Source organism: Homo sapiens, chromosome 2 (genome assembly GCF_000001405.40).
Source record: "Homo sapiens chromosome 2, GRCh38.p14 Primary Assembly".
NCBI lineage: Eukaryota > Metazoa > Chordata > Mammalia > Primates > Hominidae > Homo > Homo sapiens.
The window spans coordinates 242,145,763-242,167,487 of NC_000002.12; the positions used below are offsets into that span (position 1 = coordinate 242,145,763).

At 43.3% G+C, this 21,725-nt stretch overlaps 1 long non-coding RNA gene across 4 annotated transcripts in view; it reads left to right on the forward strand.

The window, feature by feature from the left end:
• Positions 1-14,741, forward strand: part of LINC01881 (long intergenic non-protein coding RNA 1881) — a 71,871-nt gene extending 57,130 nt beyond the window's left edge. For all 4 annotated transcript variants that reach the window (NR_130701.1, NR_130699.1, NR_130702.1 and 1 more), the window contains 2 exons: positions 13,587-13,736; positions 14,198-14,741. This is a non-coding gene — a long non-coding RNA (long intergenic non-protein coding RNA 1881). The remainder of the gene's footprint in view (positions 1-13,586; positions 13,737-14,197) is intronic.
• Positions 14,742-21,725: the final 6,984 nt, after the last annotated feature.

Genomic DNA, 21,725 nt, shown 5'->3' on the forward strand with positions numbered 1-21,725 from the left:
TTCTGAAAGTCTACCTAGCCATGTAGTTATGTAGCCTCACTCTCACTTAAACAAAGAAAATTAAAAAGCACACCAGAAAAGACTTTTCTTGTTAAAAACACATGTTTATTGTAGAAAATATAGTAAGGAAAAAGAAGAAAATATAAGGCAACTAGAATTTCTCTAGTTAGAGATAACTATTATTTATTTGAGTGTGTGTATATATCTATATATATATATATATATTGACATTCAGCTCTTATGTACTAGATACACACATCTACTGTTTCATAAGCTTTTTTCACAGAATAGATTATAATCAGTTATGTTTGTTATCACCACAACATTTTCTTCTTGAAGACCTTCTGGAATGAGGCATTTGCTTTTCTATCTAGAGACCCTATCCTTTCAAAAGGTCCTTTATCTGTGGAAAGAGCTATTCTGGCCACAGTTACTGCCAAGAAACAAGGTGTTAGAAAAGGCCTAAAGTTAAGTGCAGAACTGCTGTGTTTTGATGAATATTCTGTTGTTTTGAGAGGAGGTAGAAGCATTCTCAGCTTCAGGATATTTGCTCACTACTCATTAGTCTTTCTGAGAAGTAGCAAACTTCAAAGGTTAAATATGAAGAGATGAATTGTGTAATGCCTAGATGTCAGTAGCGGAGAAGGTATCTGAGCAAATTCAGAATTTTATCCCTGTCTCCATGGGCCTAGTGTGAAGAACAGTCATTTGTGTAAGTGGGTCTTTGTGTATATGGTAGTGAATCAGGTCACTGAGTCAGAAACTTAGAGCTGTAAGGAAAGTGAGGTGCTCTCCAGTCCAGTGTTCTGGAATTTCTTCTGCAGTGGCCCCCAACAGCAGGTGGCAGCCTCGTCCATGATTGTATTCTTAAATGACATGGTATTACTCTTTCTATTTGCAATCCATTTCACTGATGGATAGTTCTAGAGATCTGAAATATTGAGATTTAGCTCAGTGTTGTTTATATGAAGATAAATTCCGCTTTCCAACAACTCTCTTGTATGTGTCTAACGTCTGCTGCATGGAATGTCACAGATTATGCTTCATACTTGTCTTCCTGAGTCTTCTTTATCCCGAACACCCTGAGTTTTCGAATGGTTGACATGCCAGCTGGCTTTCTGCAGATGTACTTCTCGTGTGTAAATTTCCTTCTCTGTGAGGTATTCATATTGAACATGACCTCCAAGTGTGTTTGGGTCTGTGCAGAAGACAATAGGACTGTGATTTCTGATGATTAAAACCTGGATTGTATGTTACTGTGATCAGACCCTGAGACTGCGTTAGCAAGTTTTATAGCATCTGAGTCGCTCTGTTGGAGGAAAGTGCATGTGATGGGCATTTGCTTGCTTCCCCACCAGATTCTCTACCTTCACCCTTCCTGCAAGATTCCCTAGGAAGCTGACTTCTGCTGAATGCGACACTCAGGTTCTCTGCTTCCTAGATTCTAGTTGAGTTTGGTCCATGGGAGGCCTTGGCAGAAATTTTGAGAGTAAGAGCAAATAATTACTTAACCATTAGAAAAAAATATCATGAATGTGTCCTTCTGTCCATGGCCTCAGTTCCTGTTGGGGAGCCTCGGTGCCAATCCCTCGGTGCATCACCATTTCTAATTAGTTCCTGTTTTACTCTGCTTTTGCGTGTGTGTGTGTGTGTGTCTGTGTGTGTGTGTGTTGTTATAAAGGAATACCAGAGGCTGAATAATTTTAAAGAAGAGAGGTTTATTTGGTTCACAGTTCTGAAGGTGTGCAAGAAGCATGGTGCCACCATTTGCTTCTGGTGAGGGCTTTAGGCTGTTTCCACTCATGGCAGAAGGGGAAGGGAAGCTGGCATGTGCAGAGATCACATGGCGAGAGAGAGGGGTTTGTGCCAGGCTCTTGTTAACAACCAGCTCTTGTGGGAATTAAGAGAGCTAGAACTAGGTGGGCGCAGTGGCTCACACCTGTAATCCCAGCACTTTGGGAGGCCAAGGCAGGTGGATCACCTGAGGTCAGGAGTTTGAGACCAGCCTGGCCAACATGGTGAAACCCCGTCTCTACTAAAAATACCAAAAATTAGCTGGGCATAGTGGTGGGCACCTGTAATCCTAGCTACTCTGGAGGCTGACACAGGAGAATGGGTTGAACCCGTGAGGTGGATGTTGCAGTGAGCCAAGATCGCACCACTACACTCCAACCTGGGCAGCAAGAGTGAAACTACATCTCAAAAAGAAAAAAAAGAGCGAGCAAGAACTCACTTGGATGGCACCAAGACATTCGTGAGAGGTCCACACTCAGGACCAAAACACCTCCCATTAGGCCCCACCTCCAACAATGGGGATCACATTTCAACATGAGTTTGGAGTGGTCAAATATCCAAACCCTAGCAGTTCCCTTAACCCTGGAAAGAGACCCTTCATTAAACTCTTTCTGCTTAATCCTTTGAGAGTGCAACAATTTCCTGCTAGGACCCTGACAGATAGAGGGACCATACAGATCACTAAAATGCTGAGGAATTTTTCAAATGAACTGCACCCAACAGACCTCCCTGATTCTGAATATATCAAACTTTTATTTTTTATTTTATTTTATTTTATTTTTTGAGACGGAATCTCGCTCTGTCGCCCAGGCTGGAGTGCAGTGGTGCAATCTCAGCTCCCTGCAACCTCCACCTCCTGGGTTCAAGCGATTCTCCTGCCTTAGCCTCCCGAGTAGCTGGGACTACAGGCATCCACCAGCAGGCCCGGCTAATTTTTTATTTTTAGTAGAGGTGGGGTTTCACCATGTTGACCGGGCTGGTCTTCAACTCCTGACTTCATGATCCGCCCACCTTGGCTTCCCTAAGTGCTTGGATTACAGGCGTGAGCCGCTGCACCCAGCCAAACTTTAAAAAAAAAACCCAAATAGTACTTTGAAATTCACCCGCAGGGAGTTATTCAAATTGGTTGTCAGCCAGTTATTTCAGGTTGTTGAGATCATCTGGCTCTTGATTTTATTAATCATCTTAGCCTTCCCTTTCAACAATTTGCCGACTTTGTGCAAATTTTATTAATATGTGATCTCTGTCTTTATCCATGGAGAGACAGTATAGTATCATGAGGAAAAATATACTTTGGAGTAGGCAGAAATTAGGTTTGAATTACTAGCCACGAGGCTTTGGGAACATTACTTAAACTCTATAAGCTTCAATTTCTTTATCTATAAGGTAGGTATAAAACCTGAAAGTTTTGGCATGAGTTTAGTAAAACTGTCTGTGAAGCCCTTGTGGACTGCTTGGTCCATGTAGGCATTTGATAAACGGTGGCTTTATATAGAGGAGGGAAATGCAAGCTATCTCAAAAAGAAATCAGGGAAATAAGAATGCCATCTGAAATCTGTCATATGAGAATGAAAGGAGCATAGACAGGTTTTGAGTATGGGGTGAGGAGTAGGGGAGGGGAGGAGATAAGTGAACTGCCCCTCAGACTTCCAGGGAGGAGAAAAATGATGTCACTGGCAACTGCAGTTATTTGGAAAGATAGCAATCAAGCATTTCTTTCAGAGCCCTGTTCATCTTTCAGTGGCTTTGCTTCTCCAGATGCTTTTGCTCCTTCAATTATCTCTGCCTTCTCCCACCTCCTCTCCAACCATCTCTTCCCTTCCTTAATTCACAATTTTTCTCCCTCTTTTCAAGGCATAGTGCTTTGATTTATAAATTAGTTCTATGTTTCTGTTTTCTAATTTATTAGTTTCTGCTTTCTTATTTATTTATTTTGAGATGGAGTGTCACTCTGTTGCCCCAGCTGGAGTGCAGTGGCATGATCTTGGCTCACTGCAACCTCTGCCTCTCAGGTTCAAGAGATTCTCCTGCCTCAGCCTCCCAAGTAGCTCGAATTACAGGAGTGCACAACCAAGCCTGGCTAGTTTTTGTATTTGTAGGAGAGACAAGATTTCACCATGTTGGCCAGGCTGGTCTGGAACTCCTGACCTCAGGTGATCTGCCTGCCTCAGCCTCCCAAAGTGCTGGGATTACAGATGTGAGTCACCATGCCTAGCCTGCTTTCATATTTATTAATACATTAATTCCACTTTCCTAAGGATAGTTGTTGTTCAACCTTTACTAGCTTTTTTGTTGTTCATACTAATACATTTATTTTTATTGTGCTATAGCTATTTCCCACATGTGATTTTTTTTTTTTTTTTTTTTTTGAGATAGGATCTTGCTCTGTTGCTGAGGCTGGAGTGCAGTGATATGATCATGGCTTGCTGAAGCCCTGAACTCCTGAGGTTGGGTGATTCTCCCACCTTAGCCTCCCAAGTAGATGGGATTACAAGAAGTACCACTATACCTGGCTATTTAAAATTTTTTTTGGCGTGTGTGGAGATGGAGTCTCCCTATGTTGTCCAGGCTGGTTGCGAACTCCTGGTCTCAAGTGATCCTGCCACCTTGGCTTCCCAAAATGCTGGGATTACACATGTGTAATATTTTTATTGTCACTATTTTCCACATATTCTGGAAATTTTATTTGGATTTCTTTTTTTTTTTTTTGACAGAGTCTTGCTGTGTCACCTAGGCTGGAGTGCAGTGGTGCAATCTCAGCTCACTGCAACCTCCACCTTCTGGGTTCAAGGAATTCTCCTGCCTCAGCCTCCTAAGTAGCTGGGATTACAGGCATGAGCCACCAGGCCCAGCTAATTTTTGTATTTTTAGTAGAGACAGGGTGTCGCCATGTTGACGAGGCTGGTCTTGAACTGCTGACCTCAAGTGACCTGCCCACCTTGGCCTCCCAAAGTACTGGAATTACAGGCATGAGCCACTGTACCCGGCCTGAATTTCTTTTTGACATAGAATTATTTAAGAGAAAGCTTTTAAATTTCCATGCTGTAATTTCTAGTTTTGTTGTGTCATAATCAGAGAATATAATCTGTAGCATTTCTACATTCTCTACTTTGCTTAGATGTTTTTAGGGTGGGGTGTGTAATATGTACTGAATTTTGTAAACATTTTATGGACATACAAATTTCAGTGTTTACTTTTTCAGGCTATAGGCTTTGCTACATAATTTTTGTGTATTTTGTGGTCCTCATATAGATTTTTTAATTATCTTTTTGCTGTGATAGAGATTAGAAGGGTAAATTAATGTCTCATTTGCCATCATTTTTCTTTCTGTATCTCTTTTCATTTCCTGATGCTTTGGTTTTATGAAATCTTTATGTATAAAAATTGTGCACACATATCTTTATGCACAGTGTTTTGGATTTTACCCTTCATAATGAGCTTTTTTCTCTCCTTTGAATTTGACCTGGCCTGGTGTTAACAGCCCAGGTGTAAAATTCCAGTGAGAAAGAAGTCTGATGAAGAGTCAGTAGGATCTTTGTGTTGCTGAGAACTGCTCAGTAACACGGACAGCTCCCTGAACTCCAGGAAACATCCTGATTTAGTGTTTTGAGTATTGTGAAGCACAGTTAGAGCAGAAACATGGAGAATCACCTTAAATGGCAAATTGGCTTCTGGTCTTGCATAAGACTTCATTGAGGCCTAATGGGCTATGCAGGTCTACTGTCCAAAGTACAGAGGTTATTCCTAGTGTCTTTAATATTACTGTCCCTTTAGGCAAGATTATCCTTATGATAAGGGAGAGTGAATTAAGCTATTTTGGCTGAGGCATATTTTTATAAATTCATCCAATTAGCTTCCCTTGTTGTAGTTTTGGCTCACCAAACATTGTTCTCATTATAATTTAGCATCCCATATAATTTCATCTGCAGGGAGAGTCTGTACTAGGCATGGCGATGCTTACATGTCAGCCTGTGTGACTGCAAGAGTCTCAGTACAATTTGATAACATGGCACTCAGATTCTAGACATTATTCTCTGTGTGCTTAGAGAGTGTGATGACATAACCTTCAGAAAGATTCATCCTTTCTCACATATTGATAAATCAACTTTTACATCTACAAAGTTGAGAGCCAGAAATTAAAACCTTATTAATTCACTAAGGCATCCCTATGACGGCAGTCTTCCAACTAGCTCCATTCTGGGGCACTCTGACATCATTATACACTTTCCAATGAAAGCAGGGAGTGTATGTGATTAAAGGGAGAGCCCTGTGGCACTCCTGAAAAATCTCCCCTCCCAGTTCACATTGACTTATTAACCAACACTCAGGATCATGTGAAACTCTAGAACTGGATCTGGGTGCCTGGCAGGATGACATGGTGTGAGGCTCAAGCAGCACTGTGGGAATTCAAGCATCTGTTTATTTCTGAGAGAAAAAGTGTAAAGCAAAATAATATCTTTTAACAAACGTTTGTATTTGACTAAAGAGGAAGCAAGCACTTAATGTATGAATTTGCTAATTGCTCTTCTGAGCTGAGAATATCTGTGTTGGATATTAGTCATTATCCATATTTGGCACAGAATAATCCCGAGGGTTAAATGACATTGTTCCTACAGTGGGCACCTGAAGACTGGCTATAAAAGCAATCCTGGCCAGGGGCGGTGGCTCACGCCTGTAATCCCAGCACTTTGGGAGGCCAACGTGGGTGGATCATGAGGTCAGGAGTTTGAGACCAGCCTGGCCAACATAGTGAAACCTCATCTCTACTAAAAATACAAAAAAATTAGCTAGGCACGGTGGCAGACACCTGTAATCCCAGCTACTTGGGCGGCTGAGGCAGGAGAATCACTTGAACCTGGGAGGCAGAAGTTGCAGTGAGTCGAGATTGCACCAATGCACTCCAGCCCAGGTGACAGTGTGAGACTCTGTCCAAAAAAAAAAAAAAAAAAGAAAGAAAGAAAAGAAAAAAAAAGAAGAAAAAAAGAGAAAGAAAAAAAAGGAAAAATAAATAAATAAATAAATAAAAGCAACTCTAACACTACTGAGGCTATTGACAGTGGCACTTTGCTCTTCTGTTAGAACCTTGGGAAAATTTTTTCCCCCTGAATACAGTATAATAAACTTGGTTCTTATTTCTCTTTCTCTCCCCCTCCTTTTTTCTTCCCTCCCCACTACCACATGCACACACACAAATAGACAGATTTGTTTATATTTGACTTTCTAAAAACCTGTTACTAGAAAGGCACATTAATACATTTCTCCTGTGCTGATAGTAATCAGGCAACTCTGGTTTCTATTGGAGGCAATTTCTTACGTATTAAATGCCAGAAAAAGGGCATCTTTCCGTTTTTGTAGAGAGCCTTTCTTTATGAAGACTAATGACCACATTAGTTAGTCAGTCAGTCAATAATACTTACCAAATGTCAGTAGAGCCGAAGTGAACACCAACAGAAAATCACATTTTACAAATGCAATTTACTTGGTATCCTAACATGCCATGTCATAATAATTATTGAGGTTTTTCTTCTCTGCTGCATTGGTCTAATGAAAGTGGCTAGAAAAATATGGGTGCCCATGTAGCCTCCTGGAAGCACCTGTATGACTTTTCTAGAAGCGAGGTTCCTGGATAAAGATGAATTTTTAAAAGCTGGAATGAATGAGCAGCAATAGCAGAAGGAGAAAAGTGAGTGAGGGCTCTCCAAGAAGCCATCTGGCAGGCTAAGGGTTCTGAGGGAAGCTCTGGTTTCAGAAGCAACTCAGGAATTACTTCTGTCATATTAGGATGGGATGGTAGGAGATTGGGAACTCTAGGGACTAGAAGTCATTTAATTTCCTGTCTACAATCCTTAGAAGAGGTTTTGAGACTTGCAACCTAGGACCTTAACTAGTCATCTTCCCTCATCATTGATAGAATTCTTTATTATACATGTTAATATCAGATTAGTCAGGATGGGCTGGATTATGCTGTGTTAACAGCCATTCTCTAAATCTCTGTGGCTCAACAGGGAGCTCTGCCTGTCATGGTCACTTGGGACCCAGGCTTTGGGTATAAGGCTACAGCACATGGAAAATGTATGAATGTCTCTCAGATTGTTAAAGCTTCAGCTGGAAGTGACATGTCATTCTGCTCACAGTTCATTGGCTAAATGAGTCACATGGCTCTCTCTAACTTCAAGGATGGTATGAAATTGCAATCCTACCATGTCTCTAGAAGGAGAACCAGCCCTAATCACAATGCTACATGTTTATAGCTTGCCTCATAGAGTTTACTGTATTCTCCTGGTATAATTTTCTTACATGCTCAACTGGAGAGGAAGCTCTTAAATAGAAAAAAAATCACAGTACATTTCCTTTAAAAGATCTATTTTACAACTCTGGCATGATGGAGCACAATGGAGTCCTTAGTAATGGACTCCATCTCTTCCATCAGATAAAATCTTGAGAACTGAAGTTAAAATCTGAATAATGAAACCAAAGGAAAAACAAATTAAATGAATTTTAAGACACTTGAGATAAGAACAACTGTGGCATCAGCATAATTCAATTTAATAATGTATTAATTATTTTGCAGAAAAGTGAAAACAAATTGATAGCCAAATCAATGCAGCATTAAGCCACCATTTGGTCTAATTTCTTGCTGAATTGACAAAACAAAACACTAGTTTAGTTATATAAACATGGCTGATGTTTATACAAACAACAGAATTTGCCGGTAGCATTATCACTGGAAAATAAGATGTGTACTTAATTCTTGTATGTTCTGAGCCCATCTAGGAAGAACATAAAAGATGAAGAACAAAGCAATCACAGGATGTTATCATGAAAATATCACCTTTGGCTGGAGTAAAGTTTTGGCTAAATGTGGCACTAGTATTTATTACAGCTCACCTTTTTATAATGAAGGGCTATGGACTGAACATTCTTATTATTTCCCATTTTCTTACCACTCTATCCCAACACACATGCACATGCATGCACACACGCACACACACTGGCACCCACACCCATGCATGTGGGACACACAGAGCAGCCTAGGCAATTTCAATTGTTGGCAGCTTTGCTTTTATTAGGTATTAGTCTACCGACTTGCTTTCTCTTTAGAGAGACTAAGTGAAACCAAACTCATTTCCACCCAGTTAGCCTGCTGGAACCTGTAACAGTTACTGTAATGTTAAAAGCAGTAAAACAAAATAAAAGCCAGTCAGTTCACTTACTCCCGAAGTCCGCAGTTTGGTGTTCAGCTTTAAAACATATGCTCTGGGTGTCCTGTGGTGGCTACCAGAGGCTTTGGTGAGTCATTGTCAACCCAGTGGCTAGAGAAGTGCTGGAATGCCCCTCTTAAATACAGAGCCAGTTTGTCCTTCAGAATGGCTGCTTGAACGAATTTATTGCTCAACTCAAAAGGCCGTTTTTTATAACCCACTGCAGTTGTGCTTCATGTGTTTCTCCACCTATCCTGTAAAGTGTATTGTGAAATTAATTTTGTAGATTTCCTCACACTGCAGTGACTAGGGAAATCACCCATTCGTTATTATCTAATGAGGAGAAAGTGGAAACATCTAGAAGCACTGCTCCCATCCTCCTCCCCAGCCCACACAGACACCTACCTCAGGCCCTCCCTGTCCCAGGTGAGCAGAGGGCCCCACCTTTGGAGGTTGCCTCCCTTCCACCTTCACCAATCCTATGACCAGATTATCCCCAAGGAAATGTCAATCTCCAGGCAGCAAGGGAATCATATAAAGATAAGATCATTGAGAGATTTTTTTCCTCCATGATTGGCAGTTTATATTTTCTTGGGTCTACAAATCTGACAGTATTTATTAAATTTTCTAGTTTGATACTGACCTCTGTCTGATGCTGGGCTGTCACCATGCCCAAGACTGAGGGGACCCACAGTCTAGCTAGAAGGCATGGATCAATTCCAACTGCCCTACCCCTAGCCTGTGGGCAGGAGAAAGCTCTCAGGCTCTGGCAGAGGAGTCCCAGGGGCAGGATGCATGATCTTCCACTGTGCCTCCCAGCCATGCTGAGCAGCAAAGCAGACCATGAGCACGTCTCCCTTAAATTCATTTGCTTGATTTGTCCTTGAGTGTCCTTGGATGGGTTTGTTCCCTCCTTGTGCAGTATGTCTTGGTCATCCTGATTCCTGGGCTTGGCTCCCAGGTTGATTCTTTCCCTGACACAAAACAGGCACTATGGGCAAAGACACCTGCAGCCTTGGAGAGACCAGTGATGCTGGATGTTTCCTGTTAGCACTCAGGAAAGCTCAGAGCCTTTGATGAGCATCTTTTGATCCATTAGTTAAAACCACGCTGGGTTCTTTATAGTGGTTAGTTAGCTCTGGGCTATGGGATTGTGGAAGACATTTATTTCTTCTTTGGATTCACCTGGATTTTCTGCAACGGACATGTATCGATAAAATACACGGTGCTTTTAAGAAATTGCCCCATCATCATGTTGCTGTTGTTGTTATTGATATTGTTGTTTCTGATGGATAGAGATCTAGGCCTGACACTCCAAGCAGTGTGAACAGCATTTACCTTGATAAGCATTCTTACATCTTAACTCTCGGGAATTTTAAATAGAAGTGTTCCGTGTGATTAAATTAACAGGTTTAGAGATGAGTGTCCTGGTTATTTCCTTTGTTCTCCTCCTGGTAGCTGCCTGCACTCACAGCATGTTGGGAATGGTGATTATAAATGTAACCATGCTCTCTTCTTGTAAGTGGAGAGCCCAGGTACCTCTTATCCAGCATGTGACCCTCTTTCTACCTCAGGATAGTCATACTCTTAGGCTTCCTGGATTTATTCAGGGCCAAGGAGTGGTCAAGGTCCTTTTTGTTTTGCCCTATTCCCTTTGGAAAACATTTAGTTTATGCCCATGTTACAGATTGCAAAATACAGGCACATATTCTCACTAATGTGGTCTGCATGTCCCTTTGCAAGGATCATGAGGTCAGGAGATGGAGACCATCCTGGCTAACACAGTGAAACACAGTCTCTACTAAAAAATACAAAAAAAAAAAAAATTAGCCGGGCGTGGTGGTAGGTGCCTGTAGTCTCAGCTACTTGGGAGCCTGAGGCAGGAGAATGGCGTGAACCCAGGAGGCAGAGCTTGCAGTGAGCCTAGATCACACCACTGCACTCCAGCCTGGGCAACAGAGCGAGATTCTGACTCAAAAAAAAAAAAAAAGAAAAGAAAAGAAAAGAAAAGAAAAGGAGCCTCTTTGCCTCTTTACCCTAATCTGGGCAAGCCTTGCAACCTGATTTGCCAAAAAAATATGAAGGAAGCAATGTGATGTGATTTTCCAGGCTAGAATGTAAGAAGCCTTGGAGCTTCTGCTTTTACTGTCTTCAGATGCTGCCTGAAACCACTGTAAGAAGCTCTAACCTACTGGAGGATAAGGGGTGAGCCCAAGAGCATCAAGGCTCCCATCAACAGCCAGTCCTGTGAGTGAGGCCATCTTGGACCTGCCAGCTCAGTAAACCCTTTTGCTGAACACAGCCCAAGGAAGGAACCCTTGCAAAATGAAATCATGTGGTCAGTTTGCGGGGTGGTTATTACACAGCAGTAGATGATTGAAAAGGCCCAGTGTCTTCCTGGGGACTGAAACACCCACCTCCTGTTCATGTTGATACACGGTGAGCAGCATATGGATGTGGGAGTGGTGTTGGTTGCAGGTGAGGTAGAGAAGCAGTGAACAGAGCACGAAGACCTGATGTTCCAGGGTCGGGAGTTTAGACTTGATCCTAAGAGCGGCCATAGGCGGATTTAGGCAAGAGAGTAACATGGTCAGATTTTCATTTTAGAAAGTTACTCTGACATCCATGTGGAAAATGAACTTGAAGGTCACAAGGCTGATGGAGCCAGGAAGACCATTTGGGAGGTGATTGTAGTAATCTACTTAAGAGTTCATTACGAGCTGGGGAATGGGGAGGTGTTAGAGAAGAGAAAATGGATTTGAAAAGCTGAGGGATGTTAAAAAGGCAAAACTGGGCCAGGGATGGCGGCTCACGCCTGTAATCCCAGCACTTTGGGAGGCCAAGGTGGGCAGATCATGAGGTCAAGAGATTGAGATCATCTGGGCCAATATGGTGAAATCCCCTCTCTACTAAAAATACAAAAATTATCTGGATGTAGTGGCACACACCTATAATCCCAGCTACTTGGGAAGCTGAGGCAGGAGAATCGCTTGAACCCAGGCAGCGGAGGTTGCAGTGAGCTGAGATTGCACCACCACACACCAGCCTGGTGACAGAGCAAGACTCCGTCTAAAAAAAAAAACAACAACAACAACAAAAAAACGGAAAATTGTTGGGACTTGTAATTAATTGGGTGAGGAAACTGAGTGGCACATGGTCTCAGCTCTACACATGGAGAGCCCTGGGGACATAGGGAGAGCACATTTGGAAGGAAAGATGATGATTTTAGTTCTTAAAATTTTGTTTGTGGAGGAGGCATTCAGACAGAGAATTCTTTTGGGCAGTTTTGTGTAGAGAACTACATCTAAGGAGGTCAGAAGTGAACTTCAATAAAATTGAGGTGACCAATGATCATCAGTTTTAAAGAGGACTTATTTTCTTTTTTCTGTTAAAGGGAACACACCTATGAGTCAGAAAGCCAGACTTTTATTTTTTCTCGCCAAAGGTTATTGTACAACCTACAGAAGAGAGTGTAAACACTGGTCTTTAAGATGAATTGTAAAGCTCTAAAGAGAATAAGAAAAATTGTGTTTCATGATTTATGATGGATAACATTTTAGAGTTGATTTCATAAGAGAATTCATTAAGCCAATAGACAACCATGGCATTTTAACTGTAGTGTTTAAGTATCTTTAGCTCTGATTTTTTAATTAGCAGAAGCAAATAAAGAGAGCTTCGTTTTAACCATGAGAAATCTCTCTTCTGTATTTCATGTGACTAAATTTGTCCAGATGCTGAAGTTCAAATAATCACAGTGATTGCCAATATAATGGTTAATTTCCTGAGAAGTAAGTTCATGCTTTGCCACAGTTTGCTCCCCTGTAAGATCAGACAGAAAAATAAGAATAAAACCGACTAATAGCTATTGATTGCCTCTGGAACAGCTATCAATATAAAGAGCCAGACAAAACACATAATAAAGAATTGTGTTAGTGCCAGAGAGACTTTAGAGATCATTTGCCCATCTCTTTACCTTCTCCCACTTCTTTCTGTCCCTCCACCCCACCAGCTCTGGTACAGACACACAGGATATTAGTAAAGGATAGTATTTGTTGAGAGCCTTTTGCGTGTCAGGCACTGCTTCTAAACGTTGTATAATACCAGCTCATTCAATCTTCAAATCAATGCTATACAGTAGGTACTCTTCTTCTTTTTTTTTTTTTTTTAAATTTTACAGCTGAGGGACTGAGGTATGGAGAGGTTAGGTAACTTGTTCAAGGACACCAAGCCAGTCAGGCTGCCACTGGACCTAAGACAAGGTAACCTGGCTCTGAGACCAACCCCACAGAGAAGTATGTGGATGCTGACAACACTGTAGGAAGTTACAAGGAGCAAAAGAATAGCAGCCTCAGCCCTGAATTCCACTGTAAGCTTCCCTCTAATCTTCCCTGCCTCACTCTCAATCAAATAAAGAGCTGATCAGGAAGCAACTATGCACGGTCTCCACAGTCTCTTATCTTAACCCAGACTCTCCTTTCTATTGATAGCAGGTCTGTAGATAATAATTCTTTCAACCAATTGACAATCAGAAAATCTTTGAATCTATCTATGACCTGTAAGCCCCATTACTTTGAATTTTCCTCCTTCCAGACCAAACCAATGCAGACCAAACCAATGCAGAACTCCTATGTGCTGATGGTGGTCTTACATTTCCCTAAGTTTCTGCCGACTAAACTGTGCACACGTTCTCAGGACCTCCTGAAGCTGCGTCACAGGCACTAATCAAAGAACACAACCAAGGTGAGTCTCAATCATTTCAAGAAATCTATTTGCAAGGTTAAGGACACACCTGAGAAAAGAACAGAGAACCACAGGAAAAACTGTGGTCCGTGCTTTTCCCAAAGGTTGTCTGGGGACCTCAGTAAGTAAAGGGGAAAAGTGCGGGTATTGGGGAAAGGGGAAGAAGTGGAAAAAATGGGTGTGGGTAAATCAGAGGCAAATGGTTGCATTCTTCTGTCTTTGGTCAGCGTTCACTGAATACACATTTTGCATGCGATGGAGGTAGAGGCAGGGATGTAGCTTTTTTGTCTTTGTGTAATAGCTATCTTATTTAGGAACCAGATGGGAAGCAGGTTTGCATAAACCAGTTCCCAGCTTGGCTTTTCCCTTTGGCTTAGTGAGTCTGGGGTCCCAGGATTTATTTTCCGTTCTCACAGGTTGTGGTCCTCACATTTGGCTCAAAATATTCAAATTTTTTCCAGAGTTTGGCCTTTTCTTCAGCACTGGGAATTGTGATCCAAAGCTTTTCCTGATGAAGCACAAAGTTGGAGAAAAAAAAGCAAACTAAACAACAACAATGAAACAGAACAGAGTTAATCTGCTGTAGCTCAAGAGAGGATGTACCTGCCCCCACCCCGCATCCCTGGGCTCGGGTTTGCCTTGCTGACCTCTGCTGCCACCTGGTGCCACACAGAGAAACTGAGGAGAAACCACATCAGTCTCCTTCAGCCTCAGCTTCACATCTGTGGGTCAAGTAACCCTTTCAGAAGCTGAATAATGTGGGAAAGCTTTCCTCTCAGGAAAATGCACACATCCAACTTTGAGAAGATGCCCTTGGGGGTGCTTCAAGGATCCTAGATAAAGAACCCCCTTTCCCGAACATCCAAGAACCTAAGTTTTTTTTTTTTTTTTTGAGAAAGTCTCGCTCTCTCTCCCAGTCTGGAGTGCAGTGGCGTGATCTTGGCTCACTGCAAGCTCCACCTCCCAGGTTCACGCCATTCTCCTGCCTCAGCCTCCCGAGTAGCTGGGGCTACAGGCACCTGCCACCAAACCCGGCTAATTTTTTTGTATTTTTAGTAGAGACGGGGTTTCACCGTGTTAGCCAGGATCGTCTTGATCTCCTGACCTTGTGATCCACCCGCCTCGGCCTCCCAAATTGCTGGGATTACAGATGTGAGCCACCGCACCTGGTCCAAGAACCCAAGTTTTAGATCTAGAGTGATGTCAGCATGACATTGATTTCCTGAGGCCCAGGGTCGAAGGAGCTGAGGACAGCAGAGGGGTGAAGGAACTCAGCTACAGACAGCAGCAGCTGATGCACAGGGCTCCCAGCGCCTGAAGTCACCCGGAATTGGGAAGTGCTCAGAAGCTTACAAAGCTGCCTCGAGGTGGGAACATGACATAAATCCAAGAGCAGATCCCTGATCCTATAAAAATGTACTAGATGCAGTGGGGGCATTTTAAATGAGCAGAGAAGGACAGACAGATAAACAGAAGGACAAACAGTATTGGGATTGGGATAAATGCTCAGCTTTTGCCCAAATCTTAGTGACTTAAGCATCACTTATTTGCTCACGATTCTGTGGCTGGACCATTTGGTTTGGCTCACAGGGCAGGGACTGTGCTGGTCTTACCTGAGCAGACCTGCATGTCTGCGGTCAACTGGGTTGGCAGAGACAGAGTGACTGTCTTCCTCCAGGAAGCAGCAGGTTAACTGGTTGGCAGAGACAGAGGGACAGAGGGACTGTCTTCCTCCAGGAAGCAGCAGGTTAACTGGTTGGCAGAGACAGAGGGACAGAGGGGCTGTCTTCCTCCAGGAAGCAGCAGGTTAACTGGTTGGCAGAGACAGAGGGACTGAGGGACTGTCTTCCTCCAGGAAGCAGCAGGTTAACTGGTTGGCAGAGACAGAGGGACAGAGGGACTGTCTTCCTCCAGGAAGCAGCAGGTTAACTGGTTGGCAGAGACAGAGGGACTGAGGGACTGTCTTCCTCCAGGAAGCAGCAGGTTAACTGGTTGGCAGAGACAGAGGGACAGAGGGACTGTCTTCCTCCAGGAAGCAGCAGGTTAACTGGTTGGCAGAGACAGAGGGACTGAGGGACTGTCTTCCTCCAGGAAGCAGCAGGTTAACTGGTTGGCAGAGACAGAGGGACTGAGGGACTGTCTCCCCCCAGGAAGCAGCAGGTTGGCTCTGTTTCCTTCGTGGGGCAGCTGGTCTCCAGGGCAGCAAGAGAGACCAAGCCCCAGTGCACATTCTACAGCCTCTGTGCACATCAGACTTGTTAATATCCCATTGGCCAGTGTAAGTCACATGGCCAAGCCCAGATTAAGGAGTGGAAAGATGGAGGCTATCTCCTCCTGGGAGAGGAGGCCAAGGAGGTGGGAGTATTATGTGGCCACTTATGTTTGCAATCTACCATACTTAGCACTTTGAGAAAAGAATTAACTGAGAAACTTGCTTCAAATAGGGCATTCAGTAAAATGAAGCCCCAATTGAAGTAAAATGCATATATAAAAAATGAAACTGTGACCGATTTTAAGGACAGTATTGGCAAATATTTCTGTGCTCTTGGAGGAGAAGACCCTTATTGGCATGACATGTCAGAAACCACAATGAAAGAATTATTTTAACTTGCATTCATAAAAATTAAAATTATTCATTAAAAACATCGTGAATGAAATTAAAAGTCAAAATGTAAGCCAGAAAATTATTTACAATGTATGTGTCAGGAAAAGACAATACCCTTCAAACTTTGAGAGTTTACATCAGAAAGAAAACAGCAAATGACATGATCCAAACTTGATAAAGGACATGAAAAAGAGCCAGCACTTAGTATGTTTTCTGAATGAATAAGTAGCCAACAGCACATGAAAATGCGTGTAATCCATTTGTAAGCAGAGAAATGCAAACTAAAACAGTAAAGTGTCATTTTCATTTCCTGGATTGGCAAAGGGTTTTATGTATTTTACTGATAGTGCTCAATATTAGCAGTAAACAACAAATGGTGAGTAAATATGAGCTTCGGAACCTCAGGGAAATGATCTCCTTATTTCAACCTGTAGATTCCTTCCTACAACCAGTGTCTACAGAGCACCTACTATGTGCCAGGCACAGCCTAAGTCCTGAAGGTGTAGTCTCCACTGAGAAGGTGATATTTGCACAAAGACCTGAAAGACAGGAGTGAACTGTGTGGATAACTGTGGGTACCCCTACAGGCAGAGGAGTAGCAATGTGGGTCCCAAGGTGGGACCACATCAGACATGTTCGAGGACTAGCTGAGGGAGAGAGGTGGGAGGTCAGAGGAGATGGGGGCCGGCTCTGCTGGCCGTCACGAGCACTCTGGGTGCAGAGGGCGAGAGGTGGGAGGTCAGAGGAGATGGGGGCCGGCTTTGCTGGCCAACACGAGCACTCTGGGTGCTGAGGGCGAGAGGTGGGAGGTCAGAGGAGATGGGGGCTGGCTCTGCTGGCCGTCACGAGCACTCTGGGTGCAGAGGGCGAGAGGTGGGAGGTCAGAGGAGATGGGGGCCGGCTTTGCTGGCCAACACGAGCACTCTGGGTGCTGAGGGCAAGAGGTGGGGAGGAGGTCAGAGGAGATGGGGGCTGGCTCTGCCGGCCAACACGAGCACTCTGGGTTTTCCTCCAAATGCTATGAGAGCAGAGGAGTAACCTGGTCTGACTTGGGTGTGAGCAGATCTCTCTGGTTGTTGTTCTGGAAAAAACTGAGGTGCCCACGTGAAAGCAGAGATCGGTTAGGAGGCTGCTGCAGCAATTCAGGCAAAAATGGGTGGCGGGCCTCGGGTGTAGTGGAGGAGAAGCGATCGGATTTTGGATATTTGTAGCTCCCCCAATACGATTTCCTGGAGAAGGAGATGACTTCAGTCTTCTGGCCTGAGTAGCTGAAAGGATGAAGCTGTCCTTCGTGGAGGTGGGGAATCCACAGAGAAGCGGGTAGGGAGAGAGTATCAGGAGCTCAGTGTTAGCCATGGATGTTCGAGGGGAGGTATTGAGCAGCTGATAGAGACACAGGCCTGTGGTCCCAGGAAAAGGTCTGGGGGTCACTAGCCCATGGATGGAGTCACAGGCTGCATAGACTGCAGGAAAGCGAAGGTGGAGAGAGAAGAGCAGAGTACCAGGATGGACCATTGAGCACCCTGGTGTTGAGAGCAAGTGGCCTCTAGTCAGAGTTGGGTCAGGGCCACTGTGAGTGGGCTGCCCCCAACATGAGTCGGCTGTCTAGGACTAGTTTATCTCTGCTTCTCACTTTACTGGTATTATGGGGCAGCTCCTGCTGTCTTCCAATTTGGTGTTTGTAAAATGAGACATAAAAAGCAGGTGACAAGGATACCAGGAAGTGCACAGGTCTGAGTGGAGTATGGGGCTGTCTCCAGGGGAGAGGTGGCTGTTTGGAGGGAAGGGTGACAATGGATAATCAGGGTCCATGGGCATCCCTGCTTGTTTTGGAGCCATGGACACTCAAATAATGTGATTTTATGAGGCTATTGGAGAAAAAATTGGCCACAGGGCCAAGAGGGCTGGGAGGACCCCAGCTCTCCGACTGGTGTTTGCTTCTCTGCCATCAGGGTCGGGAGGCCATGCCAAGCATTGTGATTTGCAGAGTCCATGAGACAGGAACACTCCCACCACAGTGACCTGCCTCTGCACACAGCCAGAATGTAGCTGACTCCTTTCTTCTCCCACTTGCATGCTTCCAAGCCTTCAAAACATACTCATCTCCATGTTCTGTGAATTAGCAATTTTTAAAAAAATAAAAAAATAAACAAACTCATCTCTGAAGGTCCAGGTGATTTTTATGTTTTACAGAAAGTTTTGTGAAGAGATGACAGAAAGGGTTATATCACATCCACACAGCAATAACTCCTCAAAAGCAACTTTTGGCCGGGTGTGGTGGCTCATGCCTGCAATCCCAGCACTTTCAGGGGCCGAGGCGGGAGGATCGCTTGTGCTTAGGAGTTTGAGACTAGCCTGGGCAACATAGCAAGTCCCTGTCTCTACTTAAAAAAGAAAAAAAAAATGAGCCAGATGTGGTGGCACGCAGCTGTAGTCCCAGCTACATGGAAGACTGAGGTGGTAGGATCACTTGAGCCAGGAGGTTGAGGCTACAGTGAGCCATGATCACACCACTGCACTCCACCCTGGGTGACAGAGTGAGACCCTGTCTCAAACTTTTTTAAAAGGCCAGGCATGGTGGCTCATACCCATAATCCCAGTACTTTGGGAGGCCAAGGTGGGTGGATCACTTGAGCCCAGGAATTTGAGACCAGCCTGGGCAACATGGTGAAACCCCATCTCTACTAAAAGTCAAAAAAATTAGGTAGGTGTGTTGGTATACATTTGTAGTCTTGGCTCCTTGGAAGGCTGATGTGGGAGGATTGCTTAAGCCTAGGAGGTCGAGGCTACAGTGAGCCATGATTGCACCGTTGCATTCCAGCCTGGGCAAGAGTGAAACCCTGTCTCTCTCTGTCTCTGTCTGTCTCTCTCTCTCTCTGTCTCTTTCTCTCTCTCTGTGTCTCTCTCTCTCTCTCTCACACACACACACACACAACTTATAAGCATCTCTTGTTTCTCCTAAAATTACCCTTCTAGCATTAGCTGTCCCATTAAAATTCTAATAGGCTTTTTTGTGGACATCTGCAAATTAATTATAAAATTTATATGGAAATGCAAAGGGCCAAGTAAGGGCCCTTAAAAGGGACAAAAATGGGAGAAATTACTAGATACCATGGCTCACCATAAAAGCTGCCTTGATTAAGACAGTGTGGCAGTGGTCAGCAAACAGTGGTCTGCCCCTGGGCCAACTCTGCCCACCATCTGTTTCTGTATGGCCCATGAAGCAAGAATGATTTTTACATTTTTAAATGGTTGAAAATAATTGATTGGTGGGGACAATGCTGGTGGAGTCTGAAGTTGTCATGCAGTGACTCACTCAAGGTTAGGCAGATTTGGTGATATATGACACAGAGATGCAAAGAAATGCTGTAGCTGACACACACAGGGTGGCTCTGGGAGATGCAGAAGGAGCATGTCACCCAAAATAGAGCCAGATAGACATCTTTAAGGAAGGAGCAAAGGGGCTGCATCTTAAAGAATGAAGAAGGGATTTGTCATGAGAGATGGGGCAGGAAGTTCTTGAGAGGCAGAGGGAGAGCATGAGAATGCTGGGAAGGGAGGAGAGATTCTCACACATCTGGGAAGCTGACAATTCATCAGCATGTCCGGAAGGAAAATAAGGAGGAGGAGCAGAAATAGATGAGGCTGGATATAGAAGCAGGGCTGAAGCTGTGTTGATCGTGGTAAAGAGTTGTGATTCTATCCAGAAGGCAATAGGTAGCATTCTAAACAGAGATCTCTTAAAACAAGAGTCAGCAAATATTTTCTGCAAAGGGCTAAATGTTAAATATTTTAAGTTTTCCAAGCCATATGGTCTCTCTCTTAATGACTCAGGTCTTCCATTATACCATGAAAGTAACCAGAGACGTTTTTTAACACATGTATTGGCTGTGTCCCATTACAACTTTACTTACAAACGCAGACTGTGTCAGACCTGGTCCATGCATGGTAGTTTGCCACACCCTGTTTTAGAAAGCTCAGGTTTATGATGTGATGGAGAATGCCTACAAGAGCTCTTGTTTTAAATGGTAGAGTGAATATACACTGGAATTCTATCCTGCTTGACCCAAGCTCTTGATAGCGAAAGGTAGAAAAGATAGATAGTAAATAGATAGATAGATGATAGGCAGGTAGATAGATAGATGATAGATAAAGAAAATACATAGCTGTTCCAGAAAACAGAAATGGATAATTTCATGAACCAAAAGCAGAGTAATATACTTTAGAAAGGAAGCAGGCTGGAAGACCCACAGTTGCAAAGCAAATAGAATTTCCAACTGCCTCTTGTAGCCCCTTCCTGGAAGTAGTCACAGCCCAGGGTGTTCAACTTCTTCCTCTGTTTTTTGTTTGTTTGTTGTTTGCTTTTCTGTGGGGTTTTTGTTGTTGTTGTTTGCTTTTTAAAAAAAATCCCTTTCCCTGCTTTTTTGTCACAGCAGCCTTTGTCACTTCAAACACCGCAAGTGTTCTTTAAAAAAAATTATATCAACCTTTCAACTAAAATGCAACATGTCTGAAACTTGGTATCTGGAGAGGTGAGAGGGACAAAGGAGCCGTTGTTACTGCACGTTTTCATTCTCCAAACTTCACCTTGCACACAGTAACAGACAATGCACAAAGCTACTTCCTTATGGACGGAAATTCTGAAATCCTTTTATGCCTGGCCTTTCCATCCTTCAACTTCCCCTCTCCCATGCTGTGAGTGATTGTATTGGACATTTTTGTTTTAATCTCAGTGACAGGGGAACACAGATAGCTCTAATATAGCTGTGACCCAGATGCTTCTGTTTCTAGCATGTATTAATTTTGCAGCAAACATTACATCCATAATTTTTCACTGTCCTTTGAAAATAATTAGGCAATATCTCATCTGAGGTAGGATGTTTCTAGGGGTTGTGTTCTGAGTGAGAAAAACTAATCTGTTCTCTTTCCACTGCATTCTAGGAACAGTAAGAGGACCTTGTGCATGAATAATTTGTTTCCACACTGCAGAGTGGGTAATAAGCAGATTAGTAAAAACAATTCTGCTTCACTTCAATAACAGCCTCCTCCAACTCATTTTTTCTCAACAAACTTATTTTTGCAGCAGAAGAATCCCAGACTTCTTAGAGAACCCAGTGACTTTTTGCACCTTAAATCTGTGAAATCCTCATGCTTTCTTCTGCCGTATCCATCGTTCAAACAAACATGAGGCAAAGCTAGACACATTCCTGAAGGAACCCAAGAAATTCCTCTCTTTCTCTCTCTGGAATGAAATGAATTCTCTAGACCACCAGTTCTAACCTTCAAAAACCAAACCTGTTTGTGAGATCTCCTTCAAATACTACTGTAGACCCCAGTGTTTATTCATTAAATTTTTTAAATATTTGTTTTATTTGGAATCAAAG